A 25,887-nucleotide genomic window follows, 5' to 3' on the forward strand; every position below is an offset into this window, starting at 1 on the left:
TGTTCAAGCAATTATTGTGCCTCAGCCTCCTGAGTAGCTGGGCTTACAGGCGAGTGCCACCACGCCCGGCTAATTTTTGTATTTTTAGTTAAGACAGGGTTTCACCAAGTTGGCCAAGTTGGTCCTGAACTCCTAACCTCAAGTCATCTGCCCACCTCGGCCTCCCAGAGTGCTGGGATTACAGGCGTGAGCCACGGTGCCTGTTCTACCTGGTAACTTCTTATGGAAGCTGGGAGTGAAGTTCTCTTTCATATTCCCTCTCTCCTACTGTTCTCTTTCTCTTATCCTTCCACTGTAGTCGAATCACAATTTTTGGTTAAAAGTAGTTAGCTTTCACATTGTAATGATCAAGTAAATTTTGTTCATTAATGAGTGAACAAATTCTGTCTCTGCCCACATGTACCTAAAATTAATAATGGACGTATGTTTTCATTTCCTTCATTTTCTACATACCTGTCTTTTTCTCCCCCGCAACGATCCATCTGATATCAGACATCTGTTAACGTTTTTGTAATGCTCAAACACCTCTCATAATCTATCAGTTTGATTTTTTAATTCTGAAAACCTCCCTTCAGCCACTCTGATCCCTTCTGCTCCAACCTGGACTGGGTATTCTCTAGGCCTGGTGCAAACTCATTCTCTTGGAACTTCTCTTTGCTTCTCTTCTTTGTTGGGTCCTCTGTTTCCAGCATCCTGTGTCTTCCTTTTTCTTGCATTACTCCTTCCTTTGCTGAAGCTTACTAAGAAGGGTGCATAGCAGGTATATTGTCTTGGAATGAATGACACTATCTATATGACAGGCTCCCATTTGATGATTTGGCTAGGTACAGAATTCTAGGAGGAAAATGATTATCTGTTAGAACTTTTAAAGTATTTCCCACTAGCTTTTAGCATCCAGTGTATTGTTGTGAAATCTAATGCCATTTTGATTCCTGTTCCATTACAAGAAACCTTTTTTTTTAAAAGGCTACGGGATTCTCTATTTATTTTGAAATTCTGAAACTTTACAATAATTGTGCTAGATACTTGGTAAGCCATTTCAATCTCAAAATGTGTGACCTTTAATTCTAGGAATGTTAATTGTATTATTTCCTTAATAATTTTCTCCTCACCAGGTGCTGTGGCTCACGCCTATAATCCCAGTACTTTGGGAGGCTGAGGCAGGTGGATCACCTGATCTCATGTGTTCAAGACCAGCCTGACCAATATGGTGAAACCCCATCTCTACTAAAAATACAAAAATTAGCCGGGCGTGGTGGCGCACGCCTGTAGTCTCAGCTACTTGGGAGGCTGAGATAGGAGAATCGCTTGAATCTAGGAGGCTGACGTTGCAGTCAACCAAGATTGCGCCACTGCACTCCAGCCTGGGTGACAAAGCAAGACTCCATCTCAAATAACAACAACAACAAAAACAAAACAAAACAAAACAACAATAATTTTCTCCTCGTGCTTTCTCTGTTCCTTCTGCAACTCTTATTGGTCACATGTTGGACTTCCAGGATTAACTTTCTAATTTTCTAATCTTTTCTTTTTACTTTCCATCTTGATCTTTTTTCCCATTCTGAGAAATTTTCTTGACATTAGTTTACAACATTTCTATTTATTTATTTATTTATTTTTTGAGACAGGGTCTTGCTCTGTCGCCCAGGCTGGAGTGCAGTGGCATGATCTTGGCTCACTGCAACCTCTGCCTCCTAGGTTCAAGCAATTCTCCTGCCTCAGCCTCCTGAATAGCTGGGACTACAGGCGTGTGCCACCACGCCCAGCTAATTTTGTGTATTTTTAGTAGAGATGGGATTTCACCGTCTTAGCCAGGATGGTCTTGATTTCCTGACCTTGTGATCTCCCCACGTTGGCCTCCCAAAGTGCTGGGATTACAGGCGTGAGCCATCACACCTGGCCTCTATTTAAATAATTTTTATTTTTAGCTATCAAAGTTTTAATTTACAATAGTTCTTTCTGGTTCTCTGGTTGTCTTTTTTTCACAGTATACTCTTCTTGTTTTATGGACACAATCTCTTCTAATACTCATTTTGTTGATATGGTCTCATGTTAAAAAAAAGTTTTCTTCTGCCACCTGCCTTGTTGCTGCCTCCTAAGTTTTTGTTTGTGGACTTTTTGGCTCTTTTTCTTGTTAGAGCTTTTAGCAAATATCTGATGATTCCTGGCTGTCCTTTCATATTTAAGCTTAAGTGGGGCTCATTGACTAAGGATCTTCATATTAAGGTTCCCAGATAGTGAGTCTTTTAATTAGCGTTTCCCAAGGTCAGTATCTGAAGGCTTTTCTCTGGACTGTTCTGTGTATCCAGAGTACCCCTCTTTTTCCTATGAGGATGCCAATATGCTTGGTACTCTGGGGGCTGAGTGGGGGAAGGAGGCTGACAGTTCGATAATTTGGTATGTACACTTGTACTTAATCCCCATTTTCAGCCCCAAGATTAACCCAGTTCCACGTGTCTAGATTTCCTGAGTCAGAAATCTGTGTGGTTCAATTTCTCCAGAGAATAAATCCTTGCTCTTCTGTGAGTGTGCTTGGGTGTTGAACACTTGGATGCATAAGGTGGGAGGAGCCGTGGGGTCCTACTTGTTTTCAGTCCTGTACCTCCTTACTTTCCACTATCGGGTACTTCCAAGCACTGAACCTCTCAGGTTCTGTTGGGAAAGTGGCTTGCCTCTCAGCAGTACCTCCTTTGCAGGCCCTTGGTTTGCCTCAACGCTGGCAAGTCAGTTACCGCTGTTGCTCCTTTCCTGTTCTCTTTGACCTTGCAGATTAGTACCCTTTTCATTTTCTTACTGTTATTCTACAAGAGACTCAGGAAGGAGATAGGTGCCAACTTGAATGATCAGTCTCCCTTTTACATTACAGGCTGAACCTCCTCAGAAGAGCAACTGGAGATAGAAGCATGAATCTTTTATCCATACGTTCCGCCAGGCTCGAGAGGTCCAGCAGGTAACTGCCAAAGGTGGAAACTGTTCACACTTGCCTCCCATCCTGCCTGCAGAAAACCCAGACTGCATTCAGTGTCCTCAGTGTAGCCACCACTTTGCTCCCAAGGTGGCTGAGCAACACATTCCCAAGTGTAAGACCATCAAGAACTGTCTTCCACCTCTAAGGAAGCATTATAGTTGAGCAGACAACAATGGAAACTTTTGGATAGTTCAGAAAGCTCTGCTTCTCTTCAGCAGTAAATGGGAGTAGAATTTGATGCAAAGCAGAAAGAAATCAAACAGCTCCCAGATCTGCCTGCAGAGCTAAAATCTGTGAGGAGAGAGCCACTGCTAAGCAGCAGGAGGCAGAAGGAAGCCCCAGCTTCCCACTAAATTACAACCTTGGGCTGGTATGCTTTATGTTATTGCCCTCAGAATTGATGGGTGAAGACACTGAAGAGTCATGAGCAGGCTCCATTAAAGCTCTTTTCTTGCATGCCTGACTTGTGGTTTGTGCTAGTTAAGTGCCTGCATCTGGTTCTGCCTTCTTGTCACTGCATGTATGTTCAGAGTTCCTGTTAACTCTTGCTTTTGTAGAAGCTGGAGTTATTAGGATGTGTTGGTGTCAGAGGGGCATGATCACCCAGATAGTAACTCTTATAAAAGATAATACAATTTTGCTATAAGGCATTATTAATGGAAATCTATCCTTGGTCTCCCTGGTGCATAAGCCTGGCCAAAACCCAATACAAGTATGTAAGGTTAAGGCACCAATGTCTCCTAAACCTTCCCTATGGTGTACTGTGTAATAAAGGAAAGATCTTTATGTACTTTACAGGGTAGGGATGGGTGTTGGGGGGGAAACACATTATACTTCTCTCTACTTGTTCTTTTCTAATGGGTTTCATATGTTAAGAAAGAAACCTCCATTTTAGCTGTTAGTAGCACTCTACTTTCAAATCGGTTTGGCTAAATGACTGTTTAGAGGCAGCAAAATCTACCATCAAAGCAAGCTGAGACAGGCTGGTCATGGTGGCTCATTCCTATAATTCCAGCACTTTGGGAGGCTGAAGTGGGAGGATTGCTTGAGGCCAGGAGTTCAAGAGCGGCCTCGACAACAAAGCAAGACCCCATCTCAAAACAAAACAAAGCTGGGACACTGCACAGTGTCACATGCCCTTGGCAATTATAGCATAGTCAACTTCTATTTCAGAGAGTAAACTTTGAAGGGAAAGGGATCAAATCTTTTTAATTTTCTCTGTGTAGAATATTGCCTAGCACAAGTTAGACCTTCAATTAGTGAGGTCTGGAGATTTAAAATTAAACAAGAAGATGAGTGAGTCCTACACTAGTGAAATCAGAGAACTGATAAGTTAATGTCTGCGAGAGTATTATCAGTTCAGATAGGAGTGAAGTTAGCACAACAGATAGAAATCTTAGGATTACTGTTCTGTATTACTCAAATTGTTAGTTTAAAATACTGGAGAAAAACTGCTCAATTTGAGCTAGTCAACAGGGCTAGACAGACAACAAAATCCTATTTTACTAAGTAACAAATGGCCACTCACTCTTGCTCCATTTCCACTGCACTCCAGCCTGGTGACCTAGTGAGACTCCATCTCAAAAAAAAAAAAAAAAAAAAGAAAAAAAAATTGGGCTAACAGATCAGACCAATTTGAAATGTGAGTTAAGGCTTTAGCGGTGAAGCTGCAGGACACAGGCTGGGAAAAAATCCTATATATTTAAATAGGAGCACACATTTCTTTGCACTCTTTTTAATTGTTCCAAAGGAAAGGAGGTATCACATAATAAAGCTTTATGGTTAGCCCCTTAAGGAAACCTCACACAGAGATAATGGATATTTAACCTAATAGGTACATTCCCTAGGCAAGTTCAATGAAATGTACACTTTAAGTGGGAATGTAAACCAGTACATTGCAATAGATGGCAAGAGTAAGCTGTGGCCAAGGTCACAAAATGGCAACATGTGGATTGCTTTGCTCCACAGATGTTTTATTTCGCTGGCCTAGCATTCATAATATGATCTGACATTTAAAAACTGGGATATGGAACATCTCTTGAAAAACTGGAAGTTCTGGAAACACTGGGCCAGCAACCCGCATGGCACAAATTGGGTGGGGTTTAGAATCAGATGCTCCTCCAGATGGGAATGGTAGCACCAGACCACTGCAGTCTCACTTGGCCTGCTTCACTTCTTTACCTTATCTGCCTGGTACCACAGGCACTTGGATTTGGGATCGCTGGATGTTAGTAAGGTCATAGATCCGGGCCCTCCAGAGAGAACAAATTGTTGTTATATGTGGGGAGTGCTTTCTAAAAAGGAAGCAGTTGTTTGCTCTCATTTTGCTAAAGAAATAAAACAATAGTCAATGCCTTAAGTGTTCCCTTTAATCTCTACATGTTTAGGCCTTGGTTATATTAGAAATATCTTTCAAGGCCGAGCATGGTGGCTCATGCCTGTAATCCCAGCACTTTGGGAGGCCGAGGTGGGCGGATCACAAAGTCAAGAGATCGAGACCATCCTGGCCAACATGGTGAAACCCCGTCTCTACTAAAAATACAAAAATTAGCTGGGCGTGGTGGCGCACACCTGTAGTCCCAACTACTCGGGAGGCTGAGGCAGGAGAATTGCTTGAACCCAGGAGGCAGAGGTTGCAGTGAGCTGAGATCGCGCCACTGCACTCCAGCCTGGTGACCTAGTAAGAATCCATCTCAAAAAAAAAAAAAGAAAAAAAAAAAAGAAATATCTTTCATCTTTTAAATTTATCTTGATCTGGTCTCTGGGAAGAGATAAGAACCTTTTTTTAAAAAAATCTGAATTTCTTCCTGGATAGCTCAGACGATGACAGTAAATGCATGCTGCTTCTTAATGTCTGTATTTTATACAACTTTATCCAAGAAATGTTTAGTGCAAGTAAACATTATAAAGTTCATAAGGTTACACCATAGGAGAAATTTCACGGGGAAACTCCTCATGTGGAAACTCATTTCATTAAAAATGTATGCAGATGTGCCGAGACAGTATTTCTTTTTTTTTTTTTTTGAGACGGAGTCTCGCTCTTGTCACCCAGGCTGGAGTGCAGTGGAGTGATCTTGGCCCACTGCAAGCTCCGCCTCCCGGGTTCACGCCATTCTTCTGCCCCAGCCTCCCGAGTAGCTGGGACTACAGGCGCCCACCACCACGCCCGGCTGATTTTTTGTATTTTTAGTAGAGATGGGGTTTCACTGTGTTAGCCAGGATGGTCTTGAACTCCTGACCTGCCCACCTCGGCCTCCCAAAGTGCTGGGATTACAGGCGTGAGCCACCGCGCCTGTCCTGCCAAGACAGTATTTTTTTTTTTATTTTTGAGATGGAGTCTCACTCTGTCGCCCAGGCTGGAGTACCGTGGCGCAATCTCAGCTCACTGCAAACTCCGCCTCCTGGGTTCACGCCATTCTCCTGCCTCAGCCTCCAGAGTAGCTGGGACTACAGGCACCTGCCACAACACCCAGCTAATTTTTTTGTATTTTTAGTAGAGACGGGATTTCACTGTGTTAGCCAGGATGGTCTCGATCTCCTGACCTCGTGATCCGCCCGCCTCGGCCTCCCAAAGTGCTGGGATTACAGGCGTGAGCCACTGCGTCTGGCCCGAGACAGTATTTCTTAACAGCAATGTATGTAATGCAGCACAGCACCTTCTGGCCAATGTTTGCTTTCATTATCAATTTATCACTCTCCACAGCTACACAGGTGGTAACAGAGATGTGACATAGTGGAGTTTTTCTCCCTAATGTTCATCATTCTGTGAGGTTTAATGATCAGCGTGTTTATTTCCACAGTTAATCATTGAAACAATAAATGATTTTTGGCTTTGCAGCAGTTAGGAACATGTTTTATAGTCCTGATTATAGCCCACTCTGCCCTGACCATCATGAATACTTTTTTGGAGGTTTAGGGATTTCATGTGAATGAATTTATTTAAAATGTATTCTTGCCCCTGAATTGTTCTATTATGAATGTTTGTGAACATATGGCAAGTGAAATGAAATTTTTTAGTGTACTTTTGCTTTAAACTTCAGTGAAATGCTCAGCCAAGAGAAGTTGTAACTTGGCTGTGCTATGCCAGGGAGACCAAATTCAGTTCAATCTCTTTGAAGGAAAAGTTTTACAAACCATAAACTGGCATTATCACTTGGAAAGGCCCCCACTGAGACTGAGGAGGTAGGTACAAGAAAGGATCATCCTTCTTTTAGTGGCTCATTTTTTCCCTCCCTCTGCACTTTCGGCACTTTTAGACATTTTTGGGAAAAAAGCTGTAGCAGCAGCAATGATTCTGCTGGCAAGAATAAGAAACTGGAGAGAAGCAAAGAATATTTCTGTGCAGATGTCCCTTGCATTGTTTCTGTTCCAAGAACATTATTTATATAAAGACTCACAGAATCAAAGATTCACGGAGGCTTAGAATCTGGATGTTTTATCCCCAGAGACTAAGGTCCATGCACAGGCTTACTGAAGCACAGTACTGATTAAGAGCTTAAATGTTTATTTAAAACAGAAATGCCAAACCACTCCACTCTCAACCTTTCAAGCAACCTGGCTAACAATAAACTAGTTCTTCTGCAACAATGTTAGAGCAGAGGAGTAACTCAGGTTATACTGTAACTCAAAAGCAATACTACTAGAAAACTTAAAACACCTAGCACTGCATAAAGAAAAAAAGCAGGACAAAATTTAAAGAGAATTAGCTACAGAAAACCATTCAAAGGCATTTCTACTGCCTCATCTTTTACTCCATCCCCCTTTGAACTGGTTTCTGTTTGCATACTTGTTTGGTGGGAAAAAAAATCATATGGCTGTCCCAGGCACAATATGGGAAAGTGCAAACTGTCTCTAAGGCACAGAACTTAGATTCTCAGCCAGATTAATAGCAAATCTAGACTTCCCAAGGGAATATGCTAGAGAAAATGACCACAGCGTTCCACTGCTAGGGAAAGGCTCCCCTATGAACAAGACCAGGGCACTCACCCACCCCCGGCACTCACTTTCACCCCACCTTCTCAGCAACCTGCCCATGTCCATCAGCTCCATGGCAGAAGCAATCCTCATGATGAACACCCAAACTGACCCAGCCTCTCAGGCCTGCTGAGATGATGAGCATGAGGATACAGGGACATGACAGGTCAATCGGTCCTCAAGAAAATCAAAGTTGCATTTACATGCTGAACCAAAACCCACTGTTACAGTTTATGACAACCCCCGCAAGTCCCCAGAACTTGCAACTTTAATCAAAGTTTGGCTGCTTCCCTTATTTCAAGAAAAGGTTTCAGTGATTACATTAGTACTAATGTACTAGGCTTCCCAGAACTGAGAAAACAATGGGAACATCAAACCAAAGAAGATCCCATTGAACAGAGTTGCCTGTCCCGAGCAATGGGGTTCTCCCCAAGCATCAGCCTTTATGCCACCAGTTTTGGAGAAATGGCAAAATTTCCATTGCACAAGACCTCCCACAATGTTGATAAGATTATCAAACATTTTGGTCTGGGGAAGATGAAACAAAATTAATTTAGCTGTTTATAGGAAGGTGGGATGTGAGACTCATCAAAGGTAGGATGTGTGACACAAAATACCACAGGAACATTTTACAAGGCTAGGTGGAAATACAAAGCTCACATCCTTAAGGAAACCATCAAATACTTGCCTAGAACTTTCTATATGAAGTTTTGTTCTTCTATGACACTATTTCTCTTTGGTAAAGCTAGCTTGTTTCTATCTACAAAGACACAGTGAGTACAGGATTAGAAGTGAGCTCTCAGCCAAATTCCTTTTGCAAGTTCTACCTGTTCTGTTAGGCTTCAGGGACTCCCAGGGTTTGGTGCTGGCTTTGGGCCACTCAGGTAGGAAAAATGATACAGATTCATTCGTTACCACATGGCTTCATAAAACACCAAAAGGGGAAAAATACTGACTAGACATTCAGAAAGAAAGTGGTTGGGGCTGCTGATATCAAGATCAGAACCCTAAGAGCCATGAAGGCAGAGGCTCAAAGAAGTCTTTTCATGGGCAGAAGACTGAGAGCCCTCTAAGCCCTCTCTAAGATACCAAGTAGAGGCAGCTAAAGGAGGACCTCTTCTCCTTCATGATTTTCTCTTAAGGCTATTCTGACTGCCCCATGGACTCAATTCTCTGAGACACCTCATCCCTCAGAGACACCTCATCCCCTCATCCACAGTTAGGAAATCCCACCCTGCATTGGTCACAGCCTGAAACACCAGCTGTGTGATGAGGAGGGTCCTGCCCTTTCTCTATTCCTCACTGAAGAAATTTCAATCAACCCTCAGAGGAAAAGCAACCTAAGCCTACCTTTCCTCCTAAAGCATTTAGCTGCACAGAGTAACTGAACTTTTTCGAAACAAGCCCTAGATTGACTCCATCAGACATATTTTCCTGGACTCAGGGCTCCCAAGAGGGCCAGACTACTTCACCACTCTGCAGAGGACACTGGGCGGGCCACACCTGATTCCAGCCCACTCCAACTTTACACTTCTCCCTCTCCCACCCAGAGGGGTAATGCCTGGTACTGAATTCCCAAGGCAGCTTCCAATCAATGGTGAAAATGATACATGGGATATAAGCTGCTACCAGCGCAATTAAGGTGAGCACTGTGTCTCCTCTTCAAAGGTGGGATCAACAGATGAGGTACAGAGCTGCTGTTGCTATGGCAGTCACTGATGACAAAGCCAGGGCCATGGGGGCCCTTCCATTCTCCAAAACAATAAAATCACTCCTAGATCCTATCTAAAAGGCAATGCCACTCTCCAAATGTACAAGGAAAGTGCTTCAGAGCCTCTGCCTTGCGCTCCTTTTCTGCAAGTGAACAAAGCCAGGAAAGCTGCTCTCTGCATTCGGTAAGTGTGCTGTGAAGTTCTTTGGGTCCCAGTCTCCTGGGGGCTCTACAGGCTCAGGAGACTAGAGGCTGGGTCTACAGGAGTCTGTTCCCAGGAGGCACCAGGAATCTGAATCTAAGTCAGGCTTTGGATCCATTTCCATCTCTTCCTTTGCTGTCTGAGTTCCTTTGGAATGCATCCCCACCTGTCCGGATAAAACACGGTTCCACATTAGCAACAGTGCCACCTAGTCACAGAAGTAGTTCAGTACTATATTTTCAATGCCAACTTCTAAGGCATTGGCTAAGGCGTGGCTAAGGATTTGTAGCCACGATCTTGTGAGACGCTCATGGCACTATTTTAGATACAGTCCATACCTTTATATTTACTGCAGGTAGGGTGACCAACTATCCAGGTTTGTCCAGGACTGCGGGGTTTCCTGGGATGCAGAACTCTTAGTTTTAAAATGGAAAAAGTCCTGGGCAAAACAATCTTCTCCCTGCTATAGCTGCCAATCTTACCTTGTGTGTGTGTGTGTTTTTGAGACAGGGTCTTGCTCTGTTGCTTACGCCGAAGTGCAGTGGTGTGATCACGGATCACTGCAGCCTTGACCTCCCCAGATTCAGGTGATCTTCCCACCTCAGCCTCCTGAATAACTGGGACTATAGGCGTGTGCCATCATGCCCAGTTAGTTTTTATTTTTGGTAGAGATGGGGTTTCACCAGGTTGCCCAGGCTGGTCTTGAACTCCTGGGCTCAAGCAATCTCCCAAAGTGCTGGGATTACAGGTGTGAGCCACCGTGCTCAGCCTGTATATTATTTTCTAAAGTAATTTCATAAACATTAGTTCATTTAATCCTCCAAAGAACCATACAAGGTGTCTATTATTTTCTTTCAGGTGAGAAACCAGGGCTCAGAGAAAACAAAGTAGCCCAAACACCTACAGCTGGCAAATGGCAAAGCCAAGGGCCTAACCCTATTTCTCTGCTTCTACTTCCCTCTATATAAAACAATAGCATGGCTCTCGAAAAATAATGCAAGCAGCATCACCTTTGAAGTATTTTCACTAAAAATGTTTAATGTGAATCTAATCAAGCCTTAGGTTAAACTTCCAGTTTTCAGAAAAGACAGGGTGACAGAAAAACAAGTTAGACAACACCCTGAGAAAACAAGACAAATCTAGAATGTGGGACATTCTGTTGAACAACTGCCCTGGTTTCTTCAACAAGTCAATGTCATAAAAGTATTTTTTTAAAAGGTGAAGCAGAGCATGGTGGAACATGCCTGTAGTTCCAGCTACTTGGGGGGCTGAGGTCAGAGAATCACTTGAGCTTAGGAAGTCAAGGCTGCAGTGATCCATGTTTGTGCCACTGCACTCCAGCCTTGGTGACAATGCAAGACCCTGTCTCAAAATAAATACATAAATAAGGCCTGGCGCAGTGGCTCACACCTGTAATCCTAGCACTCTGGGAGGCCGAGGCAGGTGGATCACGAGGTCAGGAGTTTGACACCAGCCTGGCCAATATGGTGAAATCCCATCTCTACTAAAAATACAAAAATTGGCTGGGCATGGTGGTAAGCGTCTATAGTCCCAGCTACTCGGGAGGCTGAGGCAGAAGAATCACTTGAACCCGGGCGGTGGAGGTTGCAGTAAGCCGAGATCACGCCACTGCACTCCAGCCTGGGCAACAGAGTGAGACTGTCTCAAAAAATAAAAATAAAAATAAAAATAAAAATAAAAATAAAATAATTTAAAAAAGGTGATGGTGGTGGAGGGAGCTGTTTTAGATGAAAAGAAATGAGACATACATATAATGTGGGATTCTTGACTGGATTCTAGTCTGATAAAAAATGGTTATAAAGGACATTTTTGTGGGGGAAAACTGGGAAAATTGAGGTATCAGCTGGATACTAGATGAGAATTGACAATACTAGTATTAATTTTTTTAGGTGTGGTTATAGTATTGTGGTTGTTCAGGAGAATGTCTATTTTCAGAGGTATGTAATTAAGTATTGTAAAAGAAAAAACATACACTAAGAAAAAGCAATGCAAGTGATGAAAATGATTCAATCTAGGTGCCTGAACAAGGCCCAAGGCTTCTGGGATTATAATTACAAAAATGGTATCATTAAAAACTAAGGATCGGCCAGGCGTGGTGGCTCACACCTGTAATCCCAGCACTTTGGGAGGCTGAGGCGGGTGGATCATGAAGTCAAGTGATCGAGACCATCCTGGCCAACACGGTGAAACCCTGTCTCTACTAAAAATACCAAAATTAGCCGGGCATGGTGGTGCACACCTGTAGTCCCAGCTACTCGGGAGGCTGAGGCAGGAGAATTGCTTGAATCCGGGAGGCGGAGGTTGCAGTAAGCCAAGATAGCACCACTGCACTCTGGCCTGGCAACAGAGCGAGACTCCGTCTCAAAAAAAAAGTAAGGACCTGCAAAGGAACAAGTCTATTTCAGTACTTTGTGTTTTGTTTCTGTGATTCTTCAAAACAGGCTTAGAAATTGGATTATTCTTTTAATGCTCTCACCTGCTGCCCTCCTTCTAATTTCTTGTTCAACTTCTGCAGTTGGGTAAAAATCTGGAGGTTTTCTTGCTGTAGCTTCTGTTGTTCAGCCAGACACTTTAACACCAGACCCTGCAATCTCTCAACCTCCACCTGCAGAGAGCTGCACGCACACGCAGGAGGAGTCAGTGGTGTTCCCTTCCCAGCACAGGTTACTGCAGGATTCAGCCGAGGTGACTAGAGAGACAAGAAGGAGATTGCAGGAGGTTCTGCCCAGGTGTCATAGCTCCTCAATCCAAACTTCCTCTAAGTGCAATCGGATTTTACTTTTAAATTAACAAGATAAATCATATATACACATGAATATATGTACGAGAAACAGAAATGCTAGGATTATAACAGCGATGGGCACTGACATAACATGGAAAGTGAACTCTCTGCCTCAGTCCCCATTAGGCCAAGGTGGGAGACCAATCATCTATTTTGGAGGACTTTGTGAAAAATTTTAAAGCACCTTGGTATCTTCTCATTTAAAATGCTGAAGTAGGGAAAAGCATGATTTGGTTTGGAACAAGTCTTTCAGATCACAGACCCAAAGGGTCAATATTCATGATATGCAGTGAATCACACTTTAGAAAAGATCTGAGAGGTGGTCAGTAAACAGGACCACCAACACAATTTAAGAAGGTGAACTGACAGAGAAATTAAAACATTCACCTTGAAGTTTCAAAGGTATTATTACCTCTTCTGGGAAGCTTTCTGATGATCCTAGTCTGGATTTTTCTCTTTTCTACTGTACTTTTTTTATAGGAGGGTTCAACAAATAGCCCATAGGCCAATTCTGGCCCACTGCCTGTTTTTGTAAATACAATTTTATTGGAACACAAGGATGCCCATTCATTATGTATTACTTGAAGCTGCTTTTTGTGCTACAATGTCAGAGTTGAGTAGTTGCAAAAGAGGCTGTACACATTTCTGTCTAAAATGGTCTAAAATAATTACTATGTGGCCTTTAATAGGAAAAGTCTAAAATAATTATGTAGCCTTTTATAGAAAAAGTTTCATGACCTTGGATTATAGTTTTACTGAGGTATTTACCACAATGTCATTTTTACCAAGGTTAGGTGTACATGTGTTGCTTCCTCACTAGACTACCAGTATTACTTCTTTCTTATATTTAGAGCCTCTAACCTACCCTGCCAGTGTCATGAAAAACTGAATTTGAATTTTGGTATTTCTGAGGCAGAGGGAAAAGACAATCCCTTTAGAAAGGTGTTAGCCTGTCAGAAATGTGGAAGGGTAAATACCTTTCTGAGGCAACTCAGTTTAGTCTTGGGTTGAGGCTTTAAGTACTGCTGAATAGACAGTATAATGAGTTGATGCAGGGCAGCTGAAACCCAAAAGCTAGAGCGAGGCCAGAAGAACCAGGCAGAGCTTGCAGTGACTGTTTACCTAGTTGTGATTCAAAGGCAAAAAGCTCAGTTACCGAGGCTTCTACTTGGGGTTTGTGTTCCAAAGGAGCTTCAGAGGCCACTTTGAGTCCTTGCAGCTCTTCATAGGGCAGGGTATCTTTCTCAGATTCTGAAAACGCTGCACTGAGAGGAGATGGGCTGTCAGGCATGGGGATAAATTCTGCATTTTCCAGCTCCTATGTATATGAGAAAGAATCTCATTAGTCTGTTTGCAGTATTTGCTTCCTCCCAAATTCCCTTCTTTTTGCTATAGTTTTCCCTCTCTCATGACTTCAGCACCCTCTAGTGGGCAAGACAGTTGTGGTTAACAACATATCACAGCCTACCTGTGAAAAAACTGCCACCCCTTCATCAGAGAAACAGTGATGCAAAGGCAAACTCAAAGAACACAGGCTGGAGTTTCTGGTGTGTCACTCCAACACGCTTATTCTACACAGGCTATTCAGTGAGCTGGGGCGCTCCAAGGAAGTGTCAGTGAGGCTGGCTGCAACACTGCTGAAAGCTGAGGCTAAAGGTGCAGACAGAACAGCATGCTGCTTCCTCTGTTCACGCTCCTCAAATCACTAGCAAGTTTAGTCTTATTAGACAGGGAGCTTTAAACCTACAGATTTTTTTTTTTGAAACAGGGTCTTGCTCTGTTGCCCAGGCTGGAGTGCAGTGGCACAACCATGACTCACTGTAGTCCTGACCTTTGGGACTCAAATAATCCTTCCACATCAGCCTCCTGAGTAGCTAGGACCACAGGCATGTGCCACCATGCCCGGCTAATTATTATTTTTTTGAGACAGAATCTCACTCTGTCACCAGGCTGAAGTGCAGTGGCACAATCTCGGCTCACTGCAACCTTCACCTCCCAGGTTCAAGTGGTCCTCCTACTTCAGCCTCCCAAGTAGCTGGGATTACAAGCGTGTACCACCACAACTGGCTAATTTTTTGTATTTTTAGTAGAGACAGAGTTTCACCATGTTGGCCAGGCTGGTTTCAAACTCCTGACCTCAAGTGATCTGCCCGCCTTGGCCTCCCAAAGTGCTGGGATTACAGGTGTGAGCCACCTCGCCCAGCCTTATTTATTTATCTATTTATTTTTTGAGATGGAGTCTCACTCTGTCGCCCAGGCTGGACTGCAGTGGTGCGATCTCGGCTCACTGCAACCTTCGCCTCCTGGGCTCAAGTGATTCTCCTGGCTCAGCCTCCCAGGTAGCTGGGATTACAGGTGCGTGCCACCATGCCCAGCTAATTTTTTTTTTTTTTTGAGACGGAGTCTCGCTCTGTCACCAGGCCAAAGTGCAGTGGCGCAATCTCGGCTCACTGCAACCTCCACCTCCTGGGTTCAAGCGATTCTCCTGCCTCAGCCTCCTGAGCAGCTGGGACTACAGGCGTGCGCCACAACGCCCGGCTAATTTTTGTATTTTTAATAGAGATGGGGTTTCACCATGTTGGCCAGGATGGTCTTGATCTCTTGACCTTGTGATCCGCCCGCCTCAGCCTCCCAAAGTGCTGGGATTACAGGCGTGAGCCACCTTGCCCGGCTAATTTTTGTATTTTTAGTAGAGATGGGGTTTCACCATGATTGGCCAGGCTGTTCTCAAACTCCTGACCTCAGGTGATCCTCCCGCCTTGGCCTCCCAAAGAGCTGGGATTACAGATGTGAGCCACCATGCCTGGCCCTGGCCTTATTTTTTTTTAAATTTTTATAGAGATGGGGTCTCCCTATGTTGTCTAGGCTGGTCTCAAACTCCTGGGCTCAAGCAATCCTCCTGCCTTGGCCTCCCAAAGTGCTGGAATTACAGCTGGGAGCCATCATGCTCGGTCTTTTTTTTTTTTTTTTTGGTAAAAAATTTAAAATTTCACAAACCATAAATATTTACTGTAGAAAATGAGAAAATACAAATGGGCAAAGGAAACTAATAAAATTCACCAGCAATTCCATCACTTACAGACAACCACTTTAAAAACTGTCAATACATAGTCTTGTTGACATTCTTTTGTGTGTTACATATTTCCTAAAAGAATGAGATCATACAGATATATCATCCTCTTCTGCATAGCCATATGTTGTGAGTAACTTTCCATGAAAATAAATATACTTCAACATTCTTACTTTTTTTTTTTTTTGAACAGGGTTTTGCTTTGTCACCCAGGCTGGATTGCAGTGGTACAATCATGGCACAGCTCGGCTCACTTCAGCCTCGACTTCCCAGGTTCAAGTGATCATCCTGCCTCAGCCTCCTGAGTAGCTGGAACTATAGGTGCACACTACTACACCCGGCTAATTTTTTAAATTTTTGGTACAGACAAGGTCTTGCTGTGTTGCCCAAGCTGGTCTTGAGCTCCTAGGCTCAAGTGATCCTCCTGCCTCAGCCTCCCAAAGTGCTGGAATTATAGGCATGAGCCACTGTGCCCAATCCAACATTTTTACTTTCTGTATCTCAACTTTCATCAACCATTTTCCTATTGTAAGGCATTCCAACTGCTCCAATATTCCATTTCTATAAATGACAGTATAAAATCTGTAAGCTTAATCTTTATATACATGTACTACAAAAACTGCCATCAAGGTAGGTTATAGTAACTTATAATACATTCACTTAAGTAACAAGGGTATGAGAACATTTTTTATCTTTTTGGAAAGAAAAAAGGATTAGTGATTAGGCAATTTCTTTCCAGGTAGAAATCAGAAGGCTGGATTCAGGATGCACAACAGTTTACTAGGTACTTGGAAAACTGAGAGACCCTGACAGCTCTTTCTAGTTCCTGCAAAGGGCCACATATTTTATCCAAGTTACTTCTTCCAAAGGAATTACCTTTCGAAGCCAGCCAGGACAGGAGCTGCTGGCCCCATTACTGTTCCCCATGGCCTCTGTGGGACTGATTAAACCTTCCATTCCTCGGTCTGCTTCCATTGTTCCTCGGAAGCCTCCACTTGGGTCAGGAGTTTCAGATTCCTGCTGACTGTCCTCTTCTTCACCACCGCCGCCCCCGCCGCCTCCTCCCGGGCTAGAGCTCTGAAACACTGACAGATATACAGCACAGAAATAGACAGCTTTGCTATGCAGCAAGACAGATTTACCATTTGACAACCCTACTTACCCTGGAAAGGTGCCTATAAGCTGCATGAAGTGCAATGGCAACAGTGCAAGTCAAATGTTAGGGACTAAATTTTTGGTTTTCATACAAACTATGTTTTGTAATTTTGTATAGTTGTATTTGTATATCAGGATGCTCATAATGATAATTCACTTCCATTTACCAACTTTGTTTATCTTGTATCCATAGCAGGTTATCAATATTCTAAAAGCATTACCAAACAATCCCCCCAACCACAGCCCACCAAATCTAGCACCCATGCTTACTCTGCTTCTTTAAGAGATACATTCAGATTCCAGCATCCTCCATAGACACTTATCTTATATAAAAAGGTCTTTAATATTTGAGCCAAACTCCTCTTAAAGTTGCCAGATAAACTTACCATTAACTCCCTGTCCGGGGAAAATCTGAATGTTGAATTCTTCAACTTTTTTTTTTTTATTTGAGACCGAGTCTAGCTTCTGTTGCTCAGGCTGGAGTGCAGTGGCCCGATCTTGGCTCACTGCAACCTCTGCCTCCCAGGTTCAAGCAATTCTCCTGTCTCAGCCTCCCGAGTAGCTGGGATTACAGGCACACACCACCATGCCCAGCTAAGTTTTGTATTTTTAGTAGAGGCGGGGTTTCACTATGTTGGCCAGGCTGGTCTCGAACTCAGGTGATCCACCTACCTTGGCCTCCCAAAGTGCTGGGATTACAGGCGTGAGCCACTGCACCCAGCAATTTTTTTTTTTTGAGGCACAGTTTCATTCTGTCATCCAGGCTAGAGTGCAGTGGCACGATCTTGGCTCACTGCAACCTCCGCCTCCTGGCTTCAAGTGATTCTCGTGCCTCAGCCTCCTGAGTAGCTGGGATTACAGGTGCCCGCCACCATGCCTGGCTAATTTTTGTATTTTCAGTAAAGACAGGGTTTCACCATGTTGGCCAGGCTGGCCTTGAATTCCTGACCTCAAGTGATCCACCCGCCTCGGCCTCCCAAAGTGCTGGGATTACAGGCGTCAGCCACTGCGCCCGGCCAATTCTTCAAAATTTAATGTGAATATTACATTCTCTGACGACTATCTGTATCCATTTTTATAATATAATGGCTGATTCTTTCATATCATACAGCATATTCCAAGCAACCTTAATGAAGACTAGCTGATGTGTGGTCAGGAAATGAAACTGAATTTTAATATGGGCCAAATAAAAATATAATTAAGAAGATTAATCTGTCAAAGTTAAAGAAAAATTGCCTGGTATTTTCTTTTTTTTTTTCTCTTACTCCTCAGGGATCCTTGTTCTGATGCCTGGTATTTTCTGAGGCTAAATGTAAAGAAGGGTTAATTATCACCTGCTGTGCTGGCCTGGGGACTAACTGGGTCATGCTGAGATCCTACGGAAGCAGCAGAACTATAGTTACCAAAGTGAGTTCTGAAGCTTACTTTTTGTTTTAAATGGCTTTTTAAGATTATGCTGCATTTTAGATATACCTAAGACTATTTTAACATACGTGTAAATTTTCATGCCTAACAATAAACATAGGTCTATTTGCCACTAGAACTAGAATTGCACTATCCAATATGAGTTACTAGCCATATGTGCCCGCTTAAACTTAAAGAGAATTAAAAATTCAGTTCCTCAGTCACACAAGCCACTCTCTGGAGTGCTCAATAGCCACAGAAAGCTGGTAGCTACTATACTGAACAGCACCGATATGGAACATTTCCATTGTTGCAAAAAGATCTACTGGACACTGCTGAACTAGAGCATTACCTATATCACTGTATTTGCCGTGTGAATTCCTTCCTTCTCTGGCCTCCTACCCAGATGAAACCATTCTGTTTAATTTTATATTTATCATTTCTTCTTAAAAACTTTATCGCCTTTATGTATCCTTAAATAATACATTACTATTCATTTTACTTTTATTTATTTTTTTTGAGATGGAGTCTCACTCTTTCGCCAGGCTGGCTGTACAGTGGCGCAATCGTGGCTCACTGCAACCCCTGCCTCCCAGGTTCAAGTGATTCCCCTGCCTCAGCCTCCCAAGTAGCTGGGACTACAGGTGTGCACCACCATGCCTGGCTAATTTTTTTTTGTATTTTAGTAGAGACAGGGTTTCACCATGTTGGCCACGATACTCTCAATCTCCTGACCTTGTGATCTGCCTGCCTTGGCCTCCCAAAGTGCTGGTGTTACAGGCGTGAGCCACCACACCCAGCCTATTTTACTTGTTTCTAAACTTTATAAAAAGGCATGTAGTCTGCTGCAACTTGCTTTTTACATTTCACATTATGGAAATATTTGGAGATGTTCACTTTCACTCCAATGGATGGTTATAACGCATTTAATCAACAAATAGTTACTGAGCATTTACCATTTGCCAGGCACTGTTCTAGGGAAGTAGATAAAATTGATAAATAAAAAAGACAAAAATCCCTGCTCTTCCTCGAGTTTACATCTTCCCACCAATGGACATTTGCTTTTAATTTTATGTTTTTCCTTTAAATACTGTTCTAGTAAAACAAACTTGTAGTAGAACTGCTGTGCTTAGCGAAAGATCTTCAGTCAGTTTTGACAGATATTAATATACATAAACAGAGATGCCAAGCAATGGGCTACTTAACTATATATAATATGGTGTAATAAGTCAGTGTATATGTGTAAACTGAAGTTCAACAAGTCTAGATCATGTTTTCAGCTGTTTCTTTTTGGAGGTTTAATCTGTTTGATTGACCGATTGTTTATGTATTTATTCATTTATTCGAGATAGGGTCTTGCTATGTTGCCCAGGCCGGATTGCAGTGGCTATTCATAGGCATGATGATAGTGCACTGTAACCTTGAACTCCTGGCCTCAAGTAATCCTCCTGACTCAGCTTCCTGAGTACCTGGGACTAACGGCTGTGCCACTGTGCCCAGCTTTAATCTGCTTTTATTCTGGGTGTTTATGTGTTTTGATTCCAAACAATATCAGAATCTGGGCTGGGCATGGTGGCTCATGCCTGTAATCCCAGCACTTTGGGAGGCTGAGGTGGGCAGATCACTTGAGGCCAGGAGTTTGAGACCAGCCTGGCCAAACCTACTAAAAATACAAAAAATAGCTGAGTGTGGTGGTGCATGCCTGTAATCCCAGCTACTTGGGAGGCTGAGGAAGGTGAACCACTTGAACCTGGGAGGCAGAGGATGCAGTGAGCCGAGATTGCGCCATTGCACTCCAGCCTGGATGACAGAGCAAGACTGTGCCTCAAAAAAAATAAATAAATAAAATAAATCAGAATCCTGGTTCTGAGACATCAAAGACTACAGGGACTCTAGCAGGTAGAAAACCAAAAAGGAAAATAGATTCAATTTCCTAGCATGGTCCCCAATAATAGAGAACCATGAAGACAGCAGTCAAAGGAAATCTATCAGAGATCTTTGGGATGATTCTCCTAACCACACTGAAAGTTTAGCCGAGTTTTATTCTGAGTGCCTGTTTTGGTGAACTATTTCTTTAGACTGGAATACCCCTGGGAATACCGTGGAAGTAGAGGACTCATTACCCCCTAGAATAGTAAGGAAAGGAATAATACATAAGTCATATTACAGTACTGGGCAAGCTACTTAATTACTTGCATATGCGTTGGAGGCAAAGATGATGTAGTGTCTCTCTGACCACAATGTAAAAGTTATAACTTACTGCAAAACCAAACAAAATATGATCTTCTCTCTTAACCACTGTATTCCTCACTTCCCAAAGACATTTCCCATTTTCCTTTGGGTTTTGGAGTCTACATGGAATCTAACCAAAAGACCCACACTTCAGAAAACCACTGGTACCTGAAACATTGGTACTTACCAGTTCCAATGGATAAGCCACTGCTATTGGAACGGATGGTCTTAGAATTCAATACTTTCTCTGAGAAAAAATATTTGGTAGGTAAGCACTGTATACTGATATAGGCAAGAAAAATGAGAGAAGACTAGGATAGGGAGATAATTGCTCTCCTTGACTCCAGATAACTTTAGAACTATAACTTACAGTTTTAGAAATTAGTATCATAAGCTAAGCACCACTTGCTATTCTAAGTATATTCACTATCTACATTAGCAACTGTCTGCCTTGGCTGGTCACTGGAATCACCTGGGAAGTTTTAAAAAGTAACCATGTGTTTGAGACCAGCCTAGGCAACATGGCAAAACCCAATCTCTAAAAAAAAATGCAAAGCTAGCCAGGTGTGGTGGCACTGGCCTGTAGTCCCAGCTACTTGGGAGGCTCAGGTGAGAGGATCAATTGAGCCTGGGAGAGCGAAACTACAGTGAGCTGTGTCTGTGCCACTGCACTCTACTCTGGGTAACAGAGTGAGACTCTGTCTCAAAATTTAAAAAAAGGAAGTAACATTGCATAGGTCTGTAGGTTCCACCCCAGAGATTCTGATTTAATTGGTCAGGGATAGGGTCTGGACCGTGGTATTCTTAAAAGCTTCTTGGCCGGGTTCAGTGGCTCATGTCTGTAATCTCAGCACTTTGGGAGGCCGAGGCAGGCAGATCATGAGGTCAGGAGTTCAAGACCAGCCTGGCTAATATGGTGAAACCCCATCTCTACTAAAAAATCCAAAAATTAGCCAGGTGTGATGGTACACTCCTGTAGTCCCAGCTACTCGAGAGACTGAGGCAGGAGAATCGCTTGAACCTGGGAGGATGCAGTGAGCTGAGATCGCACCACTGCGCTCCAGCCTGGGCGACAGAGCGAGACTTCGTCTCAAAAAAAAAAAAAAAAAAAAAAAAAGCTTCTCAAGGATTCTAATGTATGTGCTGCTAAGGTTGCAAACCACTGATCTAAAAGTAGACTTATAAACCCTTACACAGGCATTTATAAAGTAGTTCCTAACAAAGTAATCTTTATGCAGAAAGTGCTTATAATTTAAAGTTTCTTTTAAAGGATGTACTGAATGTTTCTCATGAAAGCATGAGCACAGACAACAAATTAATTGGTGGATGATTAGAAGTAACAAATTCTAGGGCCAGGCACGGTGGCTCATGCCTGTAATCCCAGCACTTTGGGAGGCTGAGGCAGGTGGATCACCTGAGGTCAGGAGTTCTAGACCAGCCTGGCCAACGTGGTGGAACCCCATCTCTACCAAAAATACAAAAATTAGTCAGGCGTGGTGGTAGGCACCTATAGTCCAAGCTACTTGGGAGGCTGAGGCAAGAGAATTTGCTTGAACCCAAGAGGCGGAGGTTGCAGTGAGCCGAGATCACACCATAGCACTCCAGCCTGGGCGAAAAGAGTGAAACTCCAACTCAAAAAAAAGACAAAAAAAAACAACCAAAAAAATCAATTCTAAGGGGGCAGGCAGAGCCCAAACTTATATTAAAAAATAATCAAGAGATGGCAGATAGCAAAGCTCCAGGAAATGACAATGTTCTGTTCCCACCACTAGGCATGGCATCCTTGACCATTACAAGACTTACAGAAATGGCTTCTTCAGGACATTTCTGTTTCCAACAATGTGACTAACAGTACTCAGATGTGGGTCCATCCTCTGTCAAAGCCATCCCAACCCCAGACATATGAAACTCTTACCAACGATGAGAATGGTATGCCATCCACGGCAAGACAGGTCCGGGACATGATGCAGAGATCCAAAAATAGGCCGAGGCCATGAGGTACAGATATCAGAGCCATGTGGTCTCTCTGTGGGGGTCATTGCCAGGCGGCCATTACCACCATTGCCCCAGGCAAAAATGTGATTATCTAGGAAAAAAGTTAAACAGTAGACCATTTAACAGAACACTGGCTTCCCAATTCTCCGGGTTCCCCATCTTTATATCCTAGAGCTAGAAAGACTTCCCACTATGTACTAAACAAGGGAAAGCTGTTTATTCTCCTATATAAAGCTTAAACTCTTCCTGATTCCACTTGGGTAAAAATGCCCACTCTTCCTATGTACTGCCATTCACTCATTCATTCATCCAATCATTCACCTTTTTCTTCAACAACTTTTTATTGGTCATTCATTCAAACAGTGACTGAACATCTATTTCATGACAGGTACTGCATGGGGTGATAGAGCAGTGAACAAAACCAAGTCCTTGCCCTGTGGAACTGACATTCTAGTAGGGGAGACTGATAATAATAAATATACACCTAATATTTAAGGTGGTGATAAATGCTATGAAGATAAATGGTGGAGAAAAATAAGTGGAAACAAAGAGTAACAGTGGGGTGGGATATCATTATTTTAGATAGGGTAGGTCAGAGGAGTTCTGACACTTGAACAGAGATCTACTGGAGTGACGAAGAGTTTCCAGGCAGAGAGAAGAGCAACAGCAAAAGTAATGTCAGCAGCACAAACAAGGAACAAGGAGACCCCTGCAGCTAGAACAAAGTAAAGGAAGGGACGGAATAACAGAAGGGGTCAGGAGGTGGCTGAGGTCCTGCTCACATAGGGCCAGTCGGGCCACTGTGATGACTCTGGCACTTACTGACTGATAGAGGAAACCACTGGAGGTTTTGAGCAGTAGTTATTTAAGAGAATCCCTCTGTCTACTGAGGAGAACTGATGGCAGGGGAGCAAGGATGGAAGCAGGGAGACCAGTTGTAGTGGAGATGGTGAGAAGTGGTTGGATTTATTCTGAAGATAACCAATATGGATGGGATGTGGAGTGTAGGAGGAAGTTGCCATTTACTGAGACAGGAAGGCTGCAGGAGGTACAGATCTGGGCAGAAAATCAGAAGTTTGATTTTGAGTATACTAAGTTTGTCTGAGATGCCTATAACTTCTTATCCAAATCAGGCTTTTAAAAAAAAATGAAACAGGGTGGCTATTAATCATTAAGCCAGGACAACAGGCATGAAGGCATGAATCAGGATTGGTCTAAGATAACTGGGTTATATGGCCCACCCTAAATTTAGACATCAAGTTGAGGAGCTGTTGAATAAATGAGTCTGAAGGTCAAGCCTGGTGATATAAAGCAGTCAATGTATAGGGGGAATTTAAGGGAACAAGCTCACTTTGGAGAGACAAGTGAGCCTTGGGGTACTCCAGGACTTAGAAGACTAGGCTGCTGCTATTATAGCACCTAACACCTGCCTGTGCTAGTCCCCTATTCTACTAGAGTGTGAGCTCCTTGAAAGCAGGAGTTTTCTGAGACTCATTTCTATATTCCTAGAGCCTAAAAGAGGACTTGGACATGAATGAGGCCATCAAGTACAGTTCAGAGGAGTATAGGAACATCAAGAGGTAATATGCCCAGCCACAGAATCCAAATTTACATTCCTCATTCTGAAGTTAAAGTCATGAACTACACAGATCTATTCAAGAAACATGAGCTCTCTGAAGCCCTGTCAGAAAGTGCTACTGCAGTTGCTGCACTAAATTTATCTTCAGTGACATCCTGACTGTCCTGTGTAACGTTTCCATTTATCCAAGTCTGACCTAAACAGTTTGCTCCTTAAAGTCCCTTATTTTGGGACAAGCAGAGAGAGTTAATGTGCTGTTCTGAATGCTGGTTTATTTAAATATGGTAACAGATCACAATATCCCTGAGACCCCTCATGAGTACAGAACAGGCATGGACCAAAAGAAAACAAGGATATCTCAGAGCACAAGCAACAACAAAAAAGTTGATGAGTCAAAAGATAAGAAGATTAAATGTATTGGCTGGGCATGGTGGCACACGCCTGTAATTCCAGCTACTTGGGAGGCTGAGGCAGGAGAAGCACTTGAACCCGGGAGGTGGAGGCTGCACTGAGCCGAGATCATACCACTGTACTCCAGCCTGGGTGACAGAGCGAGACTCTGTCTCAAAAAGAAAAAGAGAGAAAATGAAATGTGAGTTGTTACCAGTCAAGTGAAAAAAGTGGCTACAAAAATTTAGAAGTTCAGATGATGACACAGGAAAAAGAAAAAAGAGGAAAAAAGCAAGCAAAGAAGGAAGGGAATGTAGGATAGCAACAGCAGCAGTACAGAAGAGAAGGAGTGACCAGGAGTGGTGGCTCACGCCTATAATCCCAGCACTTTCGGAGGCCAAGGCGGGTGGATCATCTGAGGTCAGGAGTTCAAGACCAGTCTGGCTAACAGGGCAAAACCCCATCTCTACTAAAAATACAAAAATTAGCTGGGCATGGTGGCGAGTGCCTGTAATCCCAGCTACTCAGGAGGCTAAGGCAGGAGAATCGCTTGAACCTGGGAGGCGGTAGTTGCAGTGAGCTGAGATCGCGCCACTGCACTCCAGCCTGGGCGACAACAGTGAGATTGTGTCTCAAAAAAAAAAAAAAAAGAAGAGGAGTGAGGAACCAGACAATACTGCGGAAAGAAATAGCCACAGAGGACCAGGTGCAGTGGCTCACACCTGTAATCCCAGCACTCTGGCAGGCCGAGGTGGGCAGATCACGAGGTCAGGAGTTCGAGACCAGCCTGGCTAACATGGTGAAACCCTGTCTGTACTAAAAATACAAAAATTAGCTGGACGTGGTGGTTTGTGCCTGTAGTTCCAGCTACTCAGGAGGCTGAGGCACAAGAATCACTTGAACCCGGGAGGTGGAGGTTGCAGTGAGCCAAGATCGCGCCATTGTACTCTAGGCTGGGCAATAGAGCAAGACTCCATCTCAAAAAAAAAAAAAAAAAAAAAAAAAAAAAAAAAAAAGGCCAGGCACAATGGCTCACGCCTGTAATCTCAGCACTTTGGGAGGCCGAGGCAAGCGGATCACCTGAGGTTGGGAGTTCGAGACCAGCTGACCAACATAAAGAAACCCCGTCTCTACTAAAAATACAGAAATTAGCCGAGTATGGTGGCGCATGCCTGTAATCCCAGCTACTCGGGAGGCTGAGGCAGGAGAATCGCTTGAACCTGGGAGGCAGAGGCTGTGATGAGCCGAGATTGCGCCATTGCACTCCAGCCTGGGCAACAAGAGCGAAACTCTGTTTCAAAAAACAAAACAAACAAACAAAAAAATCGTCTCAGAGAAAAGAGAGGAGAAAAATCAATTAGACCAACTCAGAAATCTGAGAGATACATAATATAGCGGAAAGCA

At 43.3% G+C, this 25,887-nt stretch overlaps 2 protein-coding genes across 12 annotated transcripts in view, besides 1 other annotated feature; one reads left to right on the plus strand and one right to left on the minus strand.

The window, feature by feature from the left end:
• Window positions 1-5,323, plus strand: part of ZC2HC1C (zinc finger C2HC-type containing 1C) — a 10,348-nt gene extending 5,025 nt beyond the window's left edge. For all 7 annotated transcript variants that reach the window (NR_110315.2, XM_011537155.3, XM_005268062.4 and 4 more), the window contains one exon: window positions 2,867-5,323. Coding sequence is in view for 6 of the 7 variants with exons in the window: in XM_011537155.3 (XP_011535457.1) it covers window positions 2,867-2,899 (33 nt within the window). In the remaining variant the exon portion in view is untranslated. The remainder of the gene's footprint in view (window positions 1-2,866) is intronic.
• The window catches only part of NEK9 (NIMA related kinase 9), a 47,850-nt gene continuing 26,650 nt past the window's right edge, over window positions 4,688-25,887 (minus strand). For all 5 annotated transcript variants that reach the window (XM_047431919.1, NM_001329238.2, XM_005268209.4 and 2 more), the window contains exons 17-22: window positions 22,435-22,605; window positions 20,707-20,766; window positions 16,605-16,813; window positions 13,815-13,976; window positions 12,353-12,565; window positions 4,688-10,021 (exon numbers count right to left, since the gene is read on the minus strand). In XM_047431919.1, the coding sequence (XP_047287875.1) occupies window positions 9,899-10,021; window positions 12,353-12,565; window positions 13,815-13,976; window positions 16,605-16,813; window positions 20,707-20,766; window positions 22,435-22,605 (938 nt within the window). In that variant the 3' untranslated portion in view covers window positions 4,688-9,898. The remainder of the gene's footprint in view (window positions 10,022-12,352; window positions 12,566-13,814; window positions 13,977-16,604; window positions 16,814-20,706; window positions 20,767-22,434; window positions 22,606-25,887) is intronic.
• Window positions 24,399-24,596: a silencer, noted in NCBI's record as "fragment chr14:75565767-75565964 (GRCh37/hg19 assembly coordinates)". NCBI's record gives its function as "represses an EF-1alpha promoter that drives an FKBP-Casp9 reporter gene in an ReSE screen in K562 erythroleukemia cells {active_cell/tissue: K562}" and the evidence as "EXISTENCE:reporter gene assay evidence [ECO:0000049][PMID:32094911]".

The sequence above is a fragment of the Homo sapiens genome, chromosome 14 (assembly GCF_000001405.40).
Source record: "Homo sapiens chromosome 14, GRCh38.p14 Primary Assembly".
In the NCBI taxonomy this organism is placed as follows: domain Eukaryota; kingdom Metazoa; phylum Chordata; class Mammalia; order Primates; family Hominidae; genus Homo; species Homo sapiens.